The sequence below is a fragment of the Homo sapiens genome, chromosome 16 (assembly GCF_000001405.40).
Source record: "Homo sapiens chromosome 16, GRCh38.p14 Primary Assembly".
NCBI classification, from domain to species: domain Eukaryota; kingdom Metazoa; phylum Chordata; class Mammalia; order Primates; family Hominidae; genus Homo; species Homo sapiens.
The window spans coordinates 67064409-67085937 of record NC_000016.10 but is presented as its reverse complement, the minus strand read 5'-3'; the positions used below and the strand labels follow the sequence as shown (position 1 = coordinate 67085937).

The 21529-nt window shown below is 40.4% G+C and overlaps 1 protein-coding gene across 6 annotated transcripts in view; it reads right to left on the bottom strand.

The window, feature by feature from the left end:
- The window catches only part of CBFB (core-binding factor subunit beta), a 71910-nt gene that overhangs the window by 15121 nt on the left and 35260 nt on the right, over positions 1–21529 (bottom strand). For 2 of the 6 annotated variants that reach the window (NM_001755.3, NM_001368709.1), the window contains 2 exons: positions 19140–19256; positions 3599–3725 (listed from right to left, as the gene is read on the bottom strand). In NM_001755.3, the coding sequence (NP_001746.1) occupies positions 3599–3725; positions 19140–19256 (244 nt within the window). The remainder of the gene's footprint in view (positions 1–3598; positions 3726–19139; positions 19257–21529) is intronic. The other 4 variants (NM_022845.3, NM_001368707.1, NM_001368710.1 and 1 more) reach the window with 3 other exon arrangements.

The window sequence follows — 21529 nt, the reverse complement described above, 5'->3', positions numbered from 1 at the left end:
GGGAGGCCAAGGCGGGCAGATCACGAGGTCAGGAGATCGAGACCATCCTGGCTAACACGGTGAAACCCCGTCTCTACTAAAAAATACAAAAAATTAGCCGGGCATGGTGGCGGGCGCCTGTGGTCCCAGCTACTCGGGAGGCTGAGGCAGAAGAATGGCTTGAACCAGGGAGGCGGAGCTTGCAGTGAGCTGAGAATGCGCCACTGCACTCCAGCCTGGGCGACAGAGCGAGACTCCGTCTCAAAAAAAAAAAAAAAAAAAAAAGATACTAAATTTTAGGCTGGGTGCAGTGGTTCACATCTGTAATCCCAGCACTTTGGGAGGTCAAGGAGGGAGAACTGCTTGAGCCCACGAGGTTGAGGCTACAGTGAATCATGTTCACACCACTGCACTTCTGCCTGGGCAACAGAGTGAGACCCCATCTCCCCCCACCCCCACCCAAAAAAAAGATATTAAATTTTATTTCAAGTCTGGGCACGGTGGCTCACTCCTGTAATCCCAGCACTTTGGGAGGCTGAGGCAGGTAGATCACCCGAGGTCAGGTGTTTGAGACCAGCCTGACCAACATGGTGAAACCTCGTGTCTACTAAAAATACAAAAATTTGCCGGGCGTGCTGGCAGGAACCTGTAATCCCAGCTACTCAGAAGACTGAGGCAGGAGAATCGCTTGAACCCGGGAGGCAGAGGTTGCGGTGAGCCGACATTGTGCCACTGCACTCCAGCCTGGGCGACAGAATGAGACTCCATCACACACACACACAGAGACACACACAGAGACACACACACACACACACAATTTATTTCATACACTAACCACCAAATAGGCTTGATTTTTAAATGTATTCTAAGTAAATATATTTTAACACAACTAGAAATTTTATGTAATACTTTAAATAATATTAACAATAATAATAGCACCTGACACCTAGTCAGTGGCACATACGCTAAAAGTGGTTTCACATGTATTTACTCATTTAATCCTCACAATGACCATATGAGACAGGCAGGATTATTACTCCTATTTTGTAGATGAGGAAACTCAGTCATAGAAAAGTGAAGTAAGCTGTCCAAGCTGACAAAGTAAATGACAGAGCCAGATTCAGACTTCTGTCTGGCTGTAGAGTCTGGGCTCTTAGCCACTGTCTGCACCCATGCACGCACACACACACACACGTATGCACACACACCTTAATTTAAACAATAGTGTACATATAATTTTGTGCTTGGAAAAAAACCACAAATTTTCTTCATTATGTAACATTGACTTAAAAACTTAAAAAAAGTGGTGAAATACACATATCATAAAACTTACCATCTTAGCCATTTTTAAAGCATACACTCAGTAGTGTTAAGTACATTCACACTGTTGTGCAACCAACTAGAACTCTCTTCATCTTGCAAAACTGAAACTCTATACTCTTTAAATAACTAACCCCCATTTCCCCGGCAACCACTATTCTACTGTCTGTAGATTCCAAAAGTATATAGGACATGAATTTAACAATCTTAGGTACCTAATACTGATTTTTAACACCTGGAAATGGTTCTGTTTAGTTGATATATTATAATTATATTTTAATGTGTTTTGATTATCAAAGATGAATGTGTGCTTTTTCTATTTCTTCTTGTATGAAATGTTCATGTTGATACAAAGTTTATAAACTTGAAGCATGATATACAGTAACATTTGACAACACTCTTTTTCAAACACATTAGTTCTTATCTTGATTATTTTTGCTAGAATATACTTTTTTTTTTTTTTTTTTTTTTTTGAGGTAGGGTCCTGCTCTGTCATCCAGGCTGGAGTACAGTGGCACGATCATAGCTCCTGCAGCCTTAAGCGCCTAGGCTCAAGCTATCCCCCTGCTTCAGCCTCCTGAGTAGCTAGGACAACAGGCATGTGCCACCATGCTGGCTAATTTTTTATTTTTTGCAGAGATGGGGGCTTGCTATTTTGCCCAAGATGGTCTAAAATTCCCAGCCTCAAGCAATCCTCCCACCTCAGCCTCCCAAAGTGCTGGGATTACAAGTGTGAGCCATAGCATCTGGCCCTAGAATATAATTTTTAAAGAAAATCTGTATTTCTGAACAATTTGTATATACTTTGAATATTAATTTTTATAATTGAGGTCTGTTTAAAGCAGAGTACAATTTTGTGTAAAAAAATTAAAATTCCATTGTCAATTAAAAGACACATCAAAATTCAGAAACCAACATGGTAGATTTAAAAAAGTGGGGGGAAAAAAGCTCAAATTTTAAAACTGGGCAAGACTAAACTTCAATGGGTGCTAAAACTAAAGAAACACAAGACATAAATTAACTATAAAAACTGAAATAATGGGCCAGACGCAGTGGCTCACGCCTGTAATCAATCCAAGCACTTTGGGAGGTTGAGGTGGGTGGATCATGAGGTCAGGAGTCCGAGACCAGCCTGACCAACATGGTGAAACCCTGCCTATACTAAAAATACAAAAATTAGCCGGCCATGGTGGTGTGCGCCTGTAATCCCAGCTACTCAGGATGCTGAGGCAGGAGAATCACTTGAACCTGGGAGGCAGAGGCTGCAGTGAGCCGAGATCACGCTACTGTACTCCAGCCTGGGCGACAGAGCAAGACTCCATCTCAAAAAAAAAAAAAAATCAAAATAATGATTACTTTTGAGCAGAAATCATGAGAAAGTCATGATTAGATGTATATATGGAAGGGGCTGCTGGGGTAGCTGTCAAAGGTTTATTTATGTATTATTTATTTATTTCCTAAAGGCAGGATCTCACTCTGTCATCCAGGCTGGAATACAGTGGCACAATCACTGCTCACTGTAACCTCAAACTCCAGGGCTCAAGTGATTCTCCTACCTTGGCCTACCAAGTGACTAAAGCTACAGGCATGTGCCACCAAACCCAGCTAATTTTCTTACTTTTTGTAGAGACAGAGTTGCTCAGGCTCAAAGTTTTATTTTTTGACCAAACCGTGGTTGTAAGGATGTTAACCTTACAGTAATTCATTGGGCTATAGATTTTTTTATTTATTATTATTTTAAAAAATGTATCCTAAGTAAACCAGCAAAGGAAGCTACAGATTTGTTAATGTTGATTTCTGTTTCTGTATTTTACAATAGAAAGGTTAAAAGAAAAAGTTTAATTCCGTTCTTTGAATAGTTTGAATATTAAATTTTCCTTTAGTTAAAATCACACAAATGACTGACAATTATAGTTATAAAACCAAGACAAATATTCATAGAAAAATGGAAAGTAGTATTACTCGAGTTTTAATAATGTTCTAAAAATATGCAATCTGTTAACATAAGCTGATTTTTACAAATAATTTGAAAAATAAGAAAAAAAGAGGTGAGATTTTGAGTAAATGAATTAAGAGAAAATATACCTTATTATAGTAAATGATTTTTATGAAGACCAATGAATGAGGAATTGATGTACAACTTTAAAATTAAAATAAATTTCTTTATAGCAATTACATTTAATAAACACAAAGCCAGAGAGTACAACTTTTTAAAAATGAAAGACAAAATTAAACTATTAAAAAGCATTATGCACAAACATCACAAACACAGCCTGAGAGTTTGGGGGAAAGTACTAACCAGTTACTGCCAGCAGCTGTGAAACTCTCACCTCCATTTCCTCCCGATGAGACCTGTCTCTATCTTCAAATTCGCGTGTCCTTCTCCGAGCCTCTTCAAAGGCCTGTTGTGCTAATGCATCCTCCTGCTGTCAGAATACATGAAATACCTATTTTAATTTTGATTTATAAAAAAAATACAATATTTGGGTTTTGTTTTTTTTTTTTTTTTCCTGAAACAGTGGCCGGGCGCAGTGGCTCACGCCTGTAATCTCAGCACTTTGGGAGGCCGAGGCGGGCAGATCACTTGAGGTCAGGAGTTCGACACCAGCCTGACCAACATGGTGAAACCGCATCTCTACTAAAAATACAGAAATTAGCTGGATGTTGTGGCGCATGTTTGTAATCCCAGCTACTTGGGAGGCTGAGGCAGAATAGCTTAAAACCCAGGAGGTGAAGGTTGCAGTGAGCCGAGATTGCGCCATTGCACTCCAGCCTGTCTCAAAAAAAAAGGAAAAGAAAAAAAAAGAAAAAAAAAAAGAAACAGCATCCCGCTCTGTTACTCAGGCTGGAGTACAAGTGCAGTGGTGGAATCATAGCTCACCACAACCTGAAAATCATAGGCTTAACCCCATTACAGCAATTCTCCTGCCTCAGCCTCCCAAGCAGCTGGGACTACAGGCACGCACCACTGCACCTGGTTAATTTTTTTTTTTAGTTTTTGTAGAGACTGGGTCTTGCTATGTTGACCAGGCTGGTCTCAAACTCCTGGCCTCAAGAGATCCTCCCGTCTTGGCCTCCCAAAGTGCTGGGATTACAGGTGCAAGCCACCTTGTCCAGCCTTTTTTATTCCGACAGAAACAAACAGCAGAGTATTTCTGAAACATCAACACCATTAAAAAAAAAGTCAGATTTTCTTAATCCAGTCTATCATTGTTGGACATCTGGGTTGGTTCCAAGTCTTTGCTATTGTGAACAGTGCCACAATAAACATACGTGTGCATGTGTCTTTATAGCAGCATGATTTATACTATGCAGCCATAAAAAAGGATGAGTTCATGTCCTTTGTAGGGACATGGATGAAACTGGAAATCATCATTCTCAGTAAACTATCGCCAAGAACAAAAAACCAAACACTGCATATTCTCACTCATAGGTGGGAATTGAACAATGAGAACACATGGACACAGGAAGGGGAACATCACACTCTGGGGACTGTTGTGGGGTGGGGGGAGGGGGGAGGGATAGCATTGGGAGATATACCTAATGCTAGATGACGAGTTAGTGGCTGCAGCGCACCAGCATGTCACATGTATACATATGTAACTAATCTGCACATTGTGTACACGTACCCTAAAACTTAAAAGTATATATATAAAAAAAAGTCAGAGGTACTTTTAAAAGAAAAATTCAGTATTTCATATTTTATGCCACACCTTGGAAACATAAGTCATGTTAATCATATTCTAACAACTGAAAATGCTCTTCCGTTTTCTTTACCTACTTAATCCTACTCATCAAAATAAAATCCTGATGAATACAATATTTAAGGCTAACAAATGTGGTAAATACTTCTATCATTTGGGGAAAAGAAATGCTCTATGAACTAAAGCCAGAAATATAAATGAAGATGAACAGCACTGACTACACAAATGTTGGAAACTTCTGGACAACAAAAAGCAAATAAAATCTCAAGGGAAATTATTAAGGAAAATATATTTATTAACATATAACAAATCTGTCTTTTCCCAGTTAGTGGCTAAAGATCTGCACCTGAAGGAAACCCAGATACCTCAGGACTCATTGCATCTAAAAAGGTAACCAACTTAAACTTTCTTCTCTACTCTTTTTTGGTCTCTGTTGGTGGCACCATTTTTTTTTCTGCAAGAAACCTGAGCCATCATCTTTGACTCTTCACTCTCTCATTGTCTCCACAATCAATCAACCACTGAGTCCTACCCACTTGATGTCCTATATATTTTTGGAATCTTCAGTCTCCTCTTCATTCCTATAAAAAGTTTCCTCCTAGTTCAGACCCCTAAAATCTCACTTAGACCATTGCAAAAGTCTCCTCAACAGTCTCTCCTTGCTTCCATTTGGTCACTCCTCAACCCAATCTACCACACAGCCATCGGAGTATGCCTTTAAAGCACAATCTGACTACAATGCCCCCAACTTAAAAAAGCTCCCTCACTGTGTACAGCCCAGGATGCTTGGCCTTTGCCGTCACACACTTCTGAATACTAGAATTTATTATTATTATTATTTTTGAGACAGAGTCTCACTCTGTTGCCCAGGCTGGAGTACAGCAGTGTGATCTCTGCTCACTGCAACCTCCCAGGTTCAAGCAATTATCTTGCTTCAGCCTCCCGAGTAGCTGGGACTACAGGTGAGCATCATCATGCCCGGCTGGTCTCGAACTCCTGACCTCAAGTGATTTGCCTGACTTGGCCTCCCAAAATCCTGGGCTTATAGGCGTAAGCCACTGTGTCTGGCCAGAATACCAGGATTTTTGATGGTACACTTGAAGAAACGAAAAGATCCAAAACAATACCAGAAAAGTCATCAATACTACTCACTTTCCTAGATTCACTGCAGCAAGGGGTGGCCACGTAACTCAGTTGTAGCCAATGAGACAGAAACACAAGTCACCTAATGGGGCTTCCAAGAAAGTTTGAGACATTTCACCATTCCACCTTCTTAGGAACTGATGCAGTGCTCAGAGATGCAGCAGCCATCTTGCAAACATAATAATGAGGACACAGTCACACAATGAGCATGGTACAGCAGCAAGATTAAAAGACCTCATATCACGTTGGGGTCAAAAAAAAAAAAAAAAAAAAAAAGACCCAGGGCCTCTGATAACATAATTAAGTGCTTGCTATACCAGGCCTGGACTGTGTACTGCTGGATATCTTGTTCTGTGTGATAAATCCTTTATTTGTCACTGTCAGTGGGGTTTTCTAATACTCAAAATTTTCAGTGACAATGTCTATAACGTAAACAGAATGGAAAGATGTAATCAAATTCCCATTCTTGTGATGCACTTACTAGCTTTATAACCCAGGGCAATGTTATTTCATTTCTCTAAGCCTCAGTAAATTTACATGTAAGAAAGGCATAGTAATACTTTATAACAAGATTGTTGTAAAGATTAAATAACACATAAAAAGTGCTTAAGCATACTGACAGCATTCAATAAATGCTATTATTCAACAAGCACTTATGGATACATAAAATTCAAACATTTGACTGAACATCATAACATGGACCTACTATATTCTCAGGACATAATATAAGCCAGAGGTAGCCGCAAAAGAATGCTGTTCCCAATTTCCCACGGCTTTCTATGCACTTAGGTATCAACTGGGACACATCTGCCGATGACAGGAAAAAACTGTGGGCCTGGTGCGGTGGCTCACACCTATAAGCTCAAGCACTTTGGGAGGCCAAGGCCGGTGGGTCACCTGAGTTTGGGAGTTGAAGAGACCAGCCCTGGCCAACATGGTGAAACCCCGTCTCTACTAAAAAACAAATACAAAAAATTAGCCAGGCATGGTGGCAGGCCCCTGTAATCCCAGCTACTCGGGAGGCTGAGGCAGAAGAATCACTTGAACCCCTGAAGGCAGAGGTTGCGGTGAGCCAAGATCACACCATTGCACTCCAGCCTGGGCAACAAGAGCGAAACTCCATTTCAAAACAAGAATAAAAAGTATCATTATTAATATTTGCAGCAAAATAAGCCAGGAGATATTTGGTAGCCTTCACTTTCTTGTTCCATCTTCTGTTTTGATCTTTTCTTTACTCTCTTTTTTAGAGAAGGGGTCTCGCTCTCAAGCCCAGGCTGGAGTGCAGTGGTGTGATTATAGCTCACTGCAGCCTCAACCTCCCAAGCTCAAATGATCCTCCTGCTTCAGGCTCCCAAGTAGCAGGGACTACAGGTGTGTGCCACCAGAGCTAATTTTTAAATTTTTTATAGAGAGATGAGGTCTCGCTGTGTTGCCCAGACTGGTCTTGAACTCCCAATATCAAGTGATCCTCCTGCCTCAACCTCCCAAAGTGCTGGGATCACAGGCATGAGCCACCGTGCCCAGCTTGTCTTGGTATTTTCTAATGACATGTGAGACATATGTGCAGTGAACAGAGTTCACACTTTAACAAATGGTAAAATGGAAAGACAATCAGCAATTACCAGTATTATCCTGATCCTTTCCTGCTGCAATCTAACACCTCCCTTTCAAGGACAGCATAAAGGGCACCTGCTAATAAAAACCACGTGCTTACCCACAAAGTAGGCTCAAATGGCTAGGAACAACCAACTCCATTCAGGTTCGGGTAGGATAAGGTTTTCAATTCTCCCGTCCCCACCAGCCACTTGTTATACTACTAGTCTGTTACTCCAAAGTCTATACCACAACCTGCACAACGTAGCCAGGTGGGGTCATCATAAAACATGGCTGGGTGTAAATTAAATCCATGTGGAAAATAAAGGCTTAGCAGTTCTGTCATAGAGCATACACAGAATATTCGACCACTCTTGTTGTAGTAATTCTCTCTTCACTGTATTTAAATTGTGTCTTTATTTATTGTCTAAATCTACAACTATATATATTTAACAGTTCGGTAACACTTACCTTTCTGCATCAGAGTTTAAAAACTGGAAGTTCATGCTTAATTAAAAAATTAAGAATCAATTTTTTTCCAAGACAGTTGATGATGAACATCTAATTTGCACAAAATATCGACATTTACTATTCTCTGTGGGGACCAGAATGGTATCACTGATCACATGAAAACCAAAATAAATAAATCTGCTGAAGAAGCATCAGTATTTACATAAAAGACAATCAGTATGTGCAGCTGCAAATGGTACATTTAACACATCAATCTGTAGCACGTAACTTTTCACTTAAATGACTCTTCCAAATTAATTTCACCCACGTTTTTGTGCATATGTAAAAAGTAAAGCTGTTTATACGTTGCTTCATGAACAGAAAAACCTTGCAAACAAAAAGACACTAATTTTACAGCAGTGTCATCAAGTACTTCAAACAGAAAATGCATCAATTCCAATAATGGTTCAATTTTTCTAATCCAATCATGGAATCAAATAAAACTTTGCAAGGTCATTATACTGAACGTGAAATATTGTTTTGTGATTGCCAAAACAAAGTCATTTAAAAAGTACAACAATGAAGATAAAATTATTGGCTTATGTTGGTAATACAAATGTTGGTGGAACACATATTGTATAAGAAAATAACATTCTCATTGAATTAGAAATCTACTAGGAACTAGTAGTGGTACACATATAATTTATAACTGCATCCAAAGAAATGAAACATTCTATCCTTTAGAAGTTATAGTTTATATAACTTACAAATATCTTTATATATCCATAGTTAAAGTAACTGAACTGCAGAATTTTGACAAAGCTGACAATGAAAAAAAAAAACTAATCTCATGACAGTACACACTGGATTTTTAGAAAACTTGAGTCTCAAGAACTATGCTAAAACCAACCTAGTTCCTACAATAACAATGACCTTCTTTTGGTAAATGAGTCTTTGTAGTAAAGTTTTGTTTAAAATTAGTTGGAAATCTCTGATTATTCAATGGTAAAGTGCCAAAATCTTCATATTTTTCAAGCTTTTAGACAATTATATTAAAAAACCAAGTGTGGCAGATCACCTGAGGTCAGGAGTTTGAGACTTTGGGCATTTCAGTTTCTGTGCTGCTCTACCCTGTTTCCCTCCTGTTCCTAGAGGTGACCACTATCCATAATTTTGTGAATACTACTTATGGCTTTCCTATTATTTATTACCAAGAGGCATTTTGCTTAATTTTGCCTCTTTTTTACTTTCTATAAAAAGAAATAAATGGGGGGAAAAACATGTATTGGTTTTACCTGATTTTGTACTTTTACATAAATCGATTCATATAACATGTGATGTTTTTTAAATTATTTATTTTTTTGAGGCAGTCTGTTGCCCAGGCTGAAGTGCAATAGAGCAATCATGGCTCACTGCAGCCTTGACCACCTGGGCTCAAGTGATCGACCTACCTCAACCTCCCAAGTAACTAGGACTACAAGTGCATGCCACCATGCCTGGCTAATTTTTTAAATTTTTTTGAGATGAAGTCTAGCTCTGTCACCAGGCTGGAGTGCAGTGGCGCGATCTCAGCTCACTGCAACCTCTGCCTCCCGGGTCCAAGCGATTCTCCTGCCTCAGCCTCCCGAGCAGCTTGGACTACAGGAACCCACCACCATACCTAGCTAATTTTTGTATTTTTAGTTGATACGGGGTTTCACCATACTGGCCAAGGTGGTCTCGAACTCCTGACCTTGTGATCTGCCCACCTTGGCCTCCCAAAGTGCTGGGATTACAGGCATGAGCCACTGTACCCAGTTAATTTTTAAAAATTTTTGAAATTTTTAAATTTCAGGCTCTTCAACTCCTGGCCTGAAACAACCCTCCTGCCTTGGCCTCCCAAAGCGCTGGGATTACAAGGGTGAGGCACCATAACTGGCCTGTTCTGTACTCTCAATATTTTTGAGGAACTCACACATATTGGTGTTAGTTGTAGCTTTTCATTCTCAGTGTATTTGTGTGACCACGCACTTTATAAATTTCACTGTTAATGGCCATTTGCGCAGTTTACAATTTCTAGCTATTACTAATAATAGTTATAAATGTCCTAGCACATATTTTGTGATGAATATGCATATTCACTCCTGTTGCCATCATGCCTTGGAGTAGAACTGCTAGATCATAGTGTGTGTATATATATATACACACACACACACATATATGCATGCGCAGCTTGCATATTTACAGCCAGTTTTCCAAATGTTGTGCCAATCTTACATAACCAACACACCAACTGCTGCTCTACATTCTTGTCAATGTTTGGTACTGTCTTCTTCATTTGAACCATTCTGATGACTGTGTGGTAGTACTGTGGTTTTAATAATTATTTTTCTGATGATCCAAGAAAGCTGAATCCTTTTCATTTGCATAGCCTGTTTGTGAACTGCCTGTTAAATGTCTTTCGCCAATTTCTTTTAGGTTGTCTGTGTTTCCTTTCAATGAAAATATTTTCTCACTGAAATGTAAGAGTTCTTTACACACACACACACACACACACACACACACACACACATTTTTTTTGAGATAGAATCTCGCTCTGTTGCCCAGGCTGGAGTGCAGTGACGTGATCTCGGCTCACTGAAACCTCTGCCTCCCAGGTTCATGGGCTTCTCCTGCCTCAGCCTCCTGAGTAGCTGGGATTATAGGTGTGTGCCACCATACCTGGCTAATTTTTGTATTTTTTAGTAGAGATGGGGTTTTGCCATACCAGGCTGGTCTCCAACTCCTGGCCTCAAGTGATCTGCCCACCTTGGCCACCCAAAGTGTTGGGATTACAAGCATGAGCCACTGCGCCTGGCCTCTACATATTTTATGTAAGTCCTTTGCCAGAAAACATTTTCCACCACTGTTCAGGTTGCCTTTACATTCTCTTAATACTGTCTTTTGATAAACAGTTCTTGGTTTTACCATAATTCGTTATTTATCCATTTACTTACAGTTTAGCATCTTTTGTGTCCTGTTCAAGTTTTTGCCTACTCCAAGGTCACAAAATGATCTTCTCATTTTCCTTTAAAAAGCTTTACTGTTTCGGCCGGGCACAGTGGCTCATGCCTGTAATCCCAGCACTTTGGGAGGCCGAAGCGGGTGGATCATGAGGTCAAGAGATCGAGACCAGCGTGGCCAACATGGTGAAACCTCGTCTCTACTAAAAATACAAAAATTAGCAGGGTATGATGGCACGTGCCTGTAGTCCCAGCTACTTGGGAGGCTGAGGCAGGAGAATCACTTGAACCCGGGAGGCAGAGGTTACAGTGAGCTGAGATCACGCCACTGCACTCCAGCCTGGTGACAGAGCTAGACTCTGTCTCAAAAAAAAAAAAAAAGCTTTACTGTTTTACATTTTATAAACTGCTATCCATCTGAAATTGATTTTTGTGAATGGTATAAGGGGCTCTGATATATTTTCCCCTCACAGAAATGTTTTATTGTCCCAGCATCATTTACTGAAGAGACCTACCCCCTGCCCCCCACCCTTGTCTGCACTGCAGTGTCACCTTTGTCTTTGTTTATTGCTGGTATATAGAAATGTAACTGATGGTGTACTGACCTTGTATTACATCTAATGCCCTGTGAAATTCATGTGTTAGTTTTCTTAATAGTGTGTAAATTATCTTAGATTTTCTAAGTACATGCATCTTCTGCAAATAACAGCTTGGTGTTTTTTGTTTTTTGTTTTTTTTGAGATGGAGTCTTGCTCTGTTGCCCAGGCTTGGAGTGCAGTGGCACCATCTTGGCTCACTGCAAGCTCCGCCTCCTGGGTTCATGCCATTCTCCTGCCTCAGCTTCCCAAGTAACTACAGGTGCCCTCCACCATGCCCGGCTAATTTTTGTAGTTTTGGTTGAGACGGGTTTCACCATGTTGGCCAGGCTGGTCTCGAACTCCTTACCTCAGGTGATTTGCCCGCCTCAGCTTTCCAAAGTTCTGGGATTACAGGCATAAGCCACTGCGCCCGGCCTCGTGTTTTTTTGAGATGGAGTCTCACTCTGCTGCCCAGGCTGGAGTGCAATGGCACGATCTCGGCTCACCGCAACCTCCACCTCCTGGGTTTAAGTAATTCTCCTGCCTCAGCCTCCTGAGTAGCTAGAACCACAGGCACGCACCACCATGGCTAATTTTTGAATTTTCAGTAGAGACGGAGTTTCACCATGTTGGCCAGGCTGGTCTCGAACTCCTGACCTCAAGTGATCCACCTGTCTCGGCCTCTCAAGAGTGCAGGGATTACAAGTATGAGCCACTGCATCTGGTCACATGTCTTCTGTTTCTTTTTGGGAAAAGAATCTTGGATGGAATTCCATTTTTAACTGGAAATGATTTGATTCTGAAGTAACTGAACTTGGCAAAATTTTCAGAAGAATCATAAATAGAGACAGAATCATAAATAGAGACAGCTTTGACAGGTATTGTCTTATACCAAACTTGTCAAAGAAAGGCACTCTGGACAAAAGCAGAGACAATACCTGTGAAAATATTTCAGCTGAAATAGTTATACAATTTAATCTTTCAAAAATGGAATTGACTCTCTTCCATTTAGCTCTTAGTTTACCAGATACTTCAGCATTTGTTAGAGTATTTTGTCAATTTTTTACGTAGTTTACAGACACTCAATTGAAGATGTCAGCTGTTCCAAATTTACTAATTATAATATGCAACTCTGAAGCATATTGTGGGCACTTTTATGAAGAAAATAAAAGTAAGGGGCTAGATGCAGTGGCTCATGCCTATAATCCTAGTGCTTTGGGAGGCTGTGGCAGGAGGATCGTTTGAAGCCAGCAATTCAAGACCAGCCTGGCCAACATGGTAAGACCTCATCTCTACAAAAGATAAAAAAAATTAGCCAAGCACGGCAGGAGCTTGAGGCTGTAGTGAGCTGTCATTGTACCACTGCACTCTGGCCTGAGCAACAGAGCAAGACTCTGTCGCTAAAAAAAAAAAAAGAAAAAAGAGGCCGGGCATGGTGGCTCACGCCTGTAATCCCAGCACTTTGGGAGGCTGAGGCGGGCAGATCACCTGAGGTCAGGAGTTGAAGACCAGCCTGACCAACATGGAGAAACCCCGTCTCTACTAAAAATACAAAATTAGCCGGGCATGGTGGCACATGCCTGTAACCCCAGCTACTCAGGAGGCTGAGGCAGGAGAATCGCTTGAACCCAGGAGGCGGAGGTTGAGGTGAGCCCAGATTGTGCCATTGCACTCCAGCCGGGGTGAGAGAGCAAGACTCTGTCTGGAAAAAAAAAAGAAAAAAAAAGAAAAACAAGACCATATTGAAAAATCTATATATTCTTCAGAAAAATATTAGATACAGATATAAATAAGAGACTAATAAAGTGCATGAATAAATATCAAGACTAAGTATTCTGCTTATTAATCTTAATGTTCAGAAGATTAGCATAAAGATATAACTTTTATTTTGCTGTAATGTGCACATGTTGTTTTATTTAAAAACGTATTTTTAAAAATGTTTTTTGAATGAAACAATTTTTCTAGGGCTAGCAATATAATAAAATCAATTTGTGGGTCAAAATATTATATAATTTCAGTTAAACATGACCTTATACTTTTAGGAATAATACAGTTACAATAAGTAATATGGTCACTCTCATCCTATATCAAATTATATTACATTATGAATGATATAACATTAACCATGAACTTTAACTTTTCAAAAAACTGTTTTTTGGTTAATTCAGAAGAGTTATTTCTGCCTGTGTGATCAGCAGAGAGAAACAAAGCTGTGTTGGGCCATGGAAGTGAGGCTGCCACCGGCTCACTCGCTAGAGATGGGGCCTATTCCAGCCCAGTGAAAGAGGGCTGAAATCCATGCTTTGTGATTTTACACACTACTTCACAAGACAGACATCTGGAGAAGAGTGGAAACCCTAAGTATAAAATGCTAAAGTACAAGCAGTAACAAACAAGAGTCTTTGTTTAGGAACTGTACTGCACGCTAGATACTGTGCTAGGCACAGCCCTTTACATATGCTATCCCATTCAACTGCCCACAATCTTGTGGGCAGCATTATCCCATCTTAGGAAGGAGAAATCTGAGGCCTGGAGAGATTTAATAACTTGCCAGCATCACACAGCTAGTGTTTTAGTCATCTGAGGATGCCATACTAAAATACCATAAATGGAGTGGCTTAAACAACAGAAATTTATTTTCTCACATTTCTGGAGACTAGCAATCCCAGATCAATGTGCCAGCCAATTTGGTTCCCCGTGAGGAACCTCTTTCTGGCATGCAGACATCCATCTTCTCACTGTGTCCTCATACGGCAGAGAGAGAGACAGAGAGCTCTCTCCTGTCTCTTAAGGACACTAACCCTACTGGATCAGAGCCCCACTCTTACGCCTTTATCTAACCTTAATTACCTCCATAAATGCCCTATCTTCAAGTACAGTAACAACGGGAGTAGGGCTTCAACATATCAATTTGGGGATGGGGTAAACAAACATTCAGTTCATGAGAGCTGGTAAGTAGTGGGGCCAGGATTCACATTATACGACTATGAACTCCTGCCCCTAGCATCTACATTTCATTGCTTCTTTACTTATATTATCTTGCAGATGGGGACAAGGGGAGCTACAGGGAAGTACTGATTGCTGCCTAAATAGTTGGAGTCACCTGCTCTGAATTTTTTTTACTATACACTGTATAACTCCTATTATCGGTAAGAGTTATGTAACTCCATTGTGATAGTAGTAAACTATCACAACAGATGGCACTTAATTTGTAGTGATATAGTTCAATTTGGGGACTATGGAAATAAGGCTTGGAAAACTCCAAGTATAAAAAATGTTAAAAATTTTAACCTATTATCTTAATAAAATACTTTAGTTTTTGTTGTTTGTTTTTGAGACAGGGTCTTGTCTTGCTCTGTCACCCAGGCTGGAGTGCAGTGGTGTGATCTCGGCTCATTGCAATCTCAGCCTCCTGGGTTCAAGCAATCATCCCACCTCAGCTTCCTGAGTAGCTGGGTCTACAGGTGCACACCACCACAGCTGGCTAATTTTTTTTTTTTTTGGTAGAGACAGGGTTTTGCCACATTGCCCAGGTTGGTCTCAAACTCCTGGGACCAAGCAATACTCCCATCTCTGCCTTTCCAAGTGCTGGAATTACAAGCGTGAGCCACTGCACCCTGTCAAAATACTTTAGTTTTTTAAAAGTCAATCCAATCTGAATTTTCCTTATATAAATAAAGTCTGCTTTATCACTTCTTAACAGAAAATAGACTTTTAGATTGCTGGTTATTTATTATTTTTCTGAAAGAATTGGAAATTCATTAGCATTGTGGAAATCAGGGTAGTGCATGGATTCTTTCTTTATTTTTATGTTTAGAGATGAAGGTCTCATTATGTTGCCTAGGCTGGGCTGGAACTCCTGGGATCAAGGGATCCTCCTGCTTCAGCCTCCCAAGTAGCTAGGACTACAGGCATGTGCCACTGGGATGGCCTGGGCCAGACCAAGAATTCTTTCTTAAGACTTTTAACTTTGAATCCTAAGCTTTTCACTAGAAAGTTTTAATTTTTTGATCTCCTTTAAAGAAAATTCTTACATTTCCATATATAAAGAACTATATGGGAAGATACAACAAAGAAACAAAGAGTTTCTTTATGTTCCTGTTATTATTTTAACTTTATTAAGGTTAATATCAAGCAAACAATTAAAAGACATTAATACCTGCTAATAATCAGGTGCTTTTACATTTTCTTTGTTTTTAAAGAGACAGGGACTCACTCTGTCACTTAGGCTTGAGTGCAGTGGTGCGATCACAGCTCACTGCAGCCTCAAACTCCTGGGCTCAAGTGATCCTCCCACTTCGGTCTCCCAAAGTGCTGGGATTACAGGTGTGAGCCACTGCACCCAATCTGCTTTTACATTTTCTTTTGGTGCTTTTAATATGTCATCCCACAACTTTCTAGCCTCTATGATTTCAAGAGAAGTCAGCTGTTAATCTTACCGTGGTTCCTTCGCGTGTGAGGAATCCTTTCTTGCTGCTTTCATGATTCCTTGTCTCTCAACAGTTTATAATGTGACTAGGTATGGATTTCTTTGTGTTTATCCTACTTAGTGTCCATTGAGCTTCTTGGACAATGTGGATTAATATTTTTCATCAAACGTGAGAGTTTTTGGCTACTACTTCTTAAAATGTATCTTCAACCTCTTTCTTTCCTTTCCTGAAACTTTCATTACATTTATGTTAATACGTGTGCTGGTGTCCCACAGGTCCCCAAGACTGTTAATTTTTCTTGTTCATATGTCAGCTCTTATCTACCATTTAGTCTGTGAACTTTTTGTTACTACTGTACTTTCCAACTCCAGAATTTCTTTTTTTTTTTTTGAGATGAAGTCTTGCTCTGTCGCCCAGGCTGGAGTGCAGTGATGCGATCTTGGCTTGCTGCAACCTCTGCCTCCTGGGTCCAAGCTATTCTCCTAACTCAGCCTCCTGAGAAGCTGGGATGGCAGGCATATGCCACAACACTCGGCGTTTTTTTTGAGATGGAGTTTCGCTCTTGTTGCCCAGGCTGGAGTGCAATGGTGCAATCTCAGCTCACTGCAATCTCCACCTCCCGGGTTCAAGTGATTCTTGAGCCTCAGCCTCCTGAGTAGGTGGGATTACAGGCATGCGCCACCATGCCTGGCTGATTTTGTATTTTTAGTAGAGATGGGGTTTCACCATGTTAGCCAGGCTGGTCTTGAATTCCTGACCTCAGGTGATCCGCCCGCCTTGGCCTCTCAAAGTGCTGGGATTATAGGCATGAGCCAACCACGGCCAGCCTCAACTCCAGAATTTCTATTTGATTCTTTTAATAATTTAGATCCCTTTATTGATATACTCTACTTAATTAGTCACTGCCATCATAATTTCCTTTAACATTAAAAGGAAAGAATTTTCCTTTAGTTCTTTCAGTATATTTATAACAACTACTTTGAAGTCTTTCTCACTAAGAACCAACACTTGGGCCCCCTCAAAGACAGTTTATATTGCTTGCTTTTTCACCTTTGTATAAGTTGCATTTTCATAGTTGCATATCTCATAACTTTTTGCTGAAAACCAGACAGTTTAGATAATATACTGTAGCAACTCTGACTTCTGATCCTTGCTTTCAGCTTGTTGTTGATGTTTGTTTGTTTAGTGACTCGCCTGGACTAATTCTGAGGAGTCTGTTTTCCACAGCAGTGCACAGCCTCTGATGTCACTGCTCAGTTTTTCTCTTTTTTTCTTTTTAGAGAAAGGATCTCACTCTGTTGCCCAGGCTGCAGTACACTGGCATGATCATAGTTCACTGCAGCCTTGAGCTCCTGGACTCAAGCGATCCTTCCACCTCAGCCTCCTAAGTAGCTAGGACTAACAGACACATGCCACCACACCTGGTTAATTTTTAAAATTATTTGTGTAGATGGGGTCTCACCATGTTGCCCAGGCTGGTCTTTAACTCTTGGGCTCATGTGATCCTGCCATCTTGGCCTCCCCAAATGCTGGGATTATAAGCATGAGCCACTGCGCACAGCTGTCTTTTTTAAGTCTTGCTTTCTGGGGGGTTGTTCCTGGATCAGCATAGTTCAGCCGTCAGCCAATGACTGGTCAGAGTTTTTACCCAAACATCTTGAGTCAGCAGACTTCCATCTTTTGCCACTGGACTTGTGTGTAGCTTGGGGAAATGCTTTCAAAGATCAGGGAGTTTGCCAGTCTACCTTGTGTTCATCCAGGGAAAAGTAGCATGCAAGGACCTTCTGTGTTCTCTTCAAGAGAGCAGGTGTAGCCTTGTACATGCACACAGCTTTCTGGATGACATGAGTGTAATCTTAGTAGGGTCTACTTTACCTATCACTTTCCCTGAATCTCCCTGATAAATTTCTGGCTGGTCTGCCATTTTGTTGCTTTCTGCAACACTAGCTTTGCCAGACTGTTAGCAAATGAGACCTCTATCATTTTAAACAATATGCCTGGGCATGGATTTTTTTTTTCCCAAGCCCTGCTTTTAATAAAGTCAGCTCTCTTTGACAGGACAACAGATCTACCAGTGCTCATGGCTTACCCTGCCCGCCCAGGGAAGAACCTGAGGGACCACAGAGCTGGGGAATGGGAGCAGCTCCTGACTAAAATGACACAGACTGTCACTGATCTTACTGAGATTCAATAGCTTCCATGAGGCCTTAAATGGGTGTTGTTCGTTGTTGTTGTTGTTTTTGAGACAGAGTTTTGTTCTGTTGCCCAGCCTGGAGTGCAGTAGCGCAATCTCGGCTCACCGCAATCTCTGCCTCCTGGGTTCGAGCGATTCTCGTGCCTCAACTTCCCAAGTAGCTGGGATTACAGGTGTGCACCACCATGCCTGGCTAATTTTTATATTTTTAGCAGAGATGGGGTTTCATCATGATGGCCAGGCTGGTCTCGAAATCCTGACCTCAAGTCTCAGGTGATCCGTCTGCCTCAGCCTCCCAAAGTGCTGGGATTACAGGTGTGAGCCACCACGTCCAGCTTTTTTTTTTTTTTTTTAAACAATTTTTGTCAAGTTTTATCATTGCTTTCTTGGGAGAGGACTTGTTGAGCTCCTCACTCAAGCATTCCAAAAGCACGGCTCCTACATTTTATTTTGAACAGTTTTTTCTTTTTTCCCTATTCATAGTGTTCTAAAGATCAAGAATAAATATTTTAAAGAGCTACTTGCTGGACTTTGAAGCACCCACTGAGCAGATACGAATAACCCATGAAATTTAGAACTGCTGAAGAAAAAACTTTCCCAAAATCAGGATCAGAATTTGAGTATCAACATTTTCAGGATTCCTCAATATTGCTTCAACACAATACTTTCTATACTTACTCTTAAAAATTGGGTAAAATAGGTCCCCAGGCAAAGGCAAGATTAGGGACTAAAGGGACCATGCTCAATAAAGCCTGATGTTACCCTACCTGGGCTCGCTCCTCATCAAACTCCAGACAGCCCATACCATCCAGTCTTTGGAGATCAATCCAGCCTTTCCAGATAACACAGACTCCATTCAGAATCATGGGAGCCTTCAAATATACCTAAGACACAGAAAAGGATGAAAATAATTGAAAACCATCAGACACATGAAAATAAAAAGATTAAACTTACTTATATAAACTCTGTAGAAAAGATGAATAAAATTATGATTGACTGATTGATTGAGATGGAGTTTCGCTGTGCTCCCCAGGCTGGAATGCAGTGGCACAATCTCAGCTCACTGCAACCTCTGCCTCCCGGGTTCAAGCAATTCTCCCACCTCGGACTCCCCAGTAGCTGGGATTACAGGCGCTCACCATCATGCCTGGCTAATTTTTTTTTTTTTTTTTGTATTTTTAGTAGAGATGGGGTTTCACCATGTTGCCCAGGCTGGTGCTGAACTCCTGAGCTCAGGCAATCTGCCAGCCTTTGCCTCCAAAAGTGCTAGGATTACAGGCGTGAGCTACCATGCCCGGCCAGACACTTTGATTTTTGAATGTTGGGTAGAAAGATGGAAAACAATTGGAAGCCACCACCCTCTGAAGAGAGCATGCACTGCTTCCCTCAACGTGGGTTCCTGGAGCATGCAGGATCAGGCTGTTGATACTCCCCTCAGTTTTATAAGCTATCTCACAGATTCCTGATAATTAATCTTTTTTTCTTTTTATTTTTTTGTCTTGTTAGCCAGAGTTGATTTCTACTGCTTTTAACCAAAGAACTTTAACTGGTATAATATTTACTATTATATCACATTAAGTAGTATGTGGTTATCTTTAGGTGTCCATAAATAATTCGGAACAAAACACTGCTATCCTTTATATGGGACTTATGAAATTTAATTCAAGCTATTTCACAGTTTTTTATTTATTTATTTTTTACTTTTCCCAATAGGCAACAGTAAGGTGAATCAGTCTTTTAAATATAGTAGAAAAGTTTTAAGGTCACAGGGTTTGACTACATGTATCAATTATTTATCTAGAAACTGGTAAGTTAACCCAAAATCTACTTATTTCAACTCCCTGTTGAAATTCTTAAATACTATAACAAAATCAACTAAGACAAAAAGGCTAGGCACCAGTGGCTAATGCCTGTTATCCCAGTACTTTGGGAGGCCAAGGTGTGAGGATCATTTGAGGCCAGGAGTTCAAGACCTGCCTGGGCAACACAGAGAGACCTCACCTCTAAAAAGTAAAAAAATAAAAATAAAAAAATGAATAAACTTAACCAAGCATCTTGAATTCTTAATAAATGGAAATGTGTTTATTCCTTACACATAATACCTTTAGATGACAAAATTAGCCAGGCTTCATACTGTATCACATCCAACAAGTATATCTACTTACACATTAGAGAAATATCGAAAATAAGTATCCTAGGATATGGTAACATCTCAAGTCACTGACAAATTAAATATGTTCACTATACTTTATGCACTGCAGTTTAAAAAAGTACCAATAAATTTTAAAAAGATCTTCAAGATTCCTGAAACCAAAAGTATCTCTCATCTGGTGAACCTTCAGCTTCATGAGAAAATTCCTACATCCTGGCTAGGCGCGGTGGCTGATGCCTGTAATCCCGGCACTTTGGGAGGCCAAGTTGGGCGGATCACTTGAAGTCAGGAGTTTCAGACCAGCCTGGCCAACATGGCAAAACCCCATCTCTACTGAACATAACAAAAATTAGCCAGGCATGGTAGCGCACAGCTATAATCCCAGCTACTCGGGAGGCTGAGGCAAGAGAATCACTTGAACTCGGGAGGCAGAGATTGCAGTGAGCCGAGATAGTGCCACTGCACTCCAGCCTGGGTGACAGAGTGAGACTTGTCTCAAACAAAAAAAAGAGAGAGAAAAAAAAGAAAACTTCTGTTTTACACTTTTATTAACTTTTCTTCTGAAACAACAACAATAAAAAACAACAACAAAAAACAAAAACCCATTTCTGCACCATTCTTTTTCAAGTAAATAAATAACTCTAGAATAAAAATTGCTTTAGGTATACATCATACCCAAATTTAGATCATTTTTGATCACCAAATTAATTCTCATATTGGCTCAAAATACAATTGTTCCCAAGAGTAACTATCCACCCAGAAAGGACGGTGTTAATTCTATCATCCTGAGGTGAATATTTTATTGTGATAGAGATAAACAATATAAGAGAAATTTATTACAGTTTCTACAATCTTCCCACTCCTAATACCACACTAACCTAATAGTTACTTTTAAAAACATAATTTTAGGGCTGGGCACGGTGGCTCACGCTTGTAATCCCAGCACTTTGGGAGGCTGAGGCGGGTGGATCACAAGATCAGAAGTTCGAGACCAGCCTGGACAAC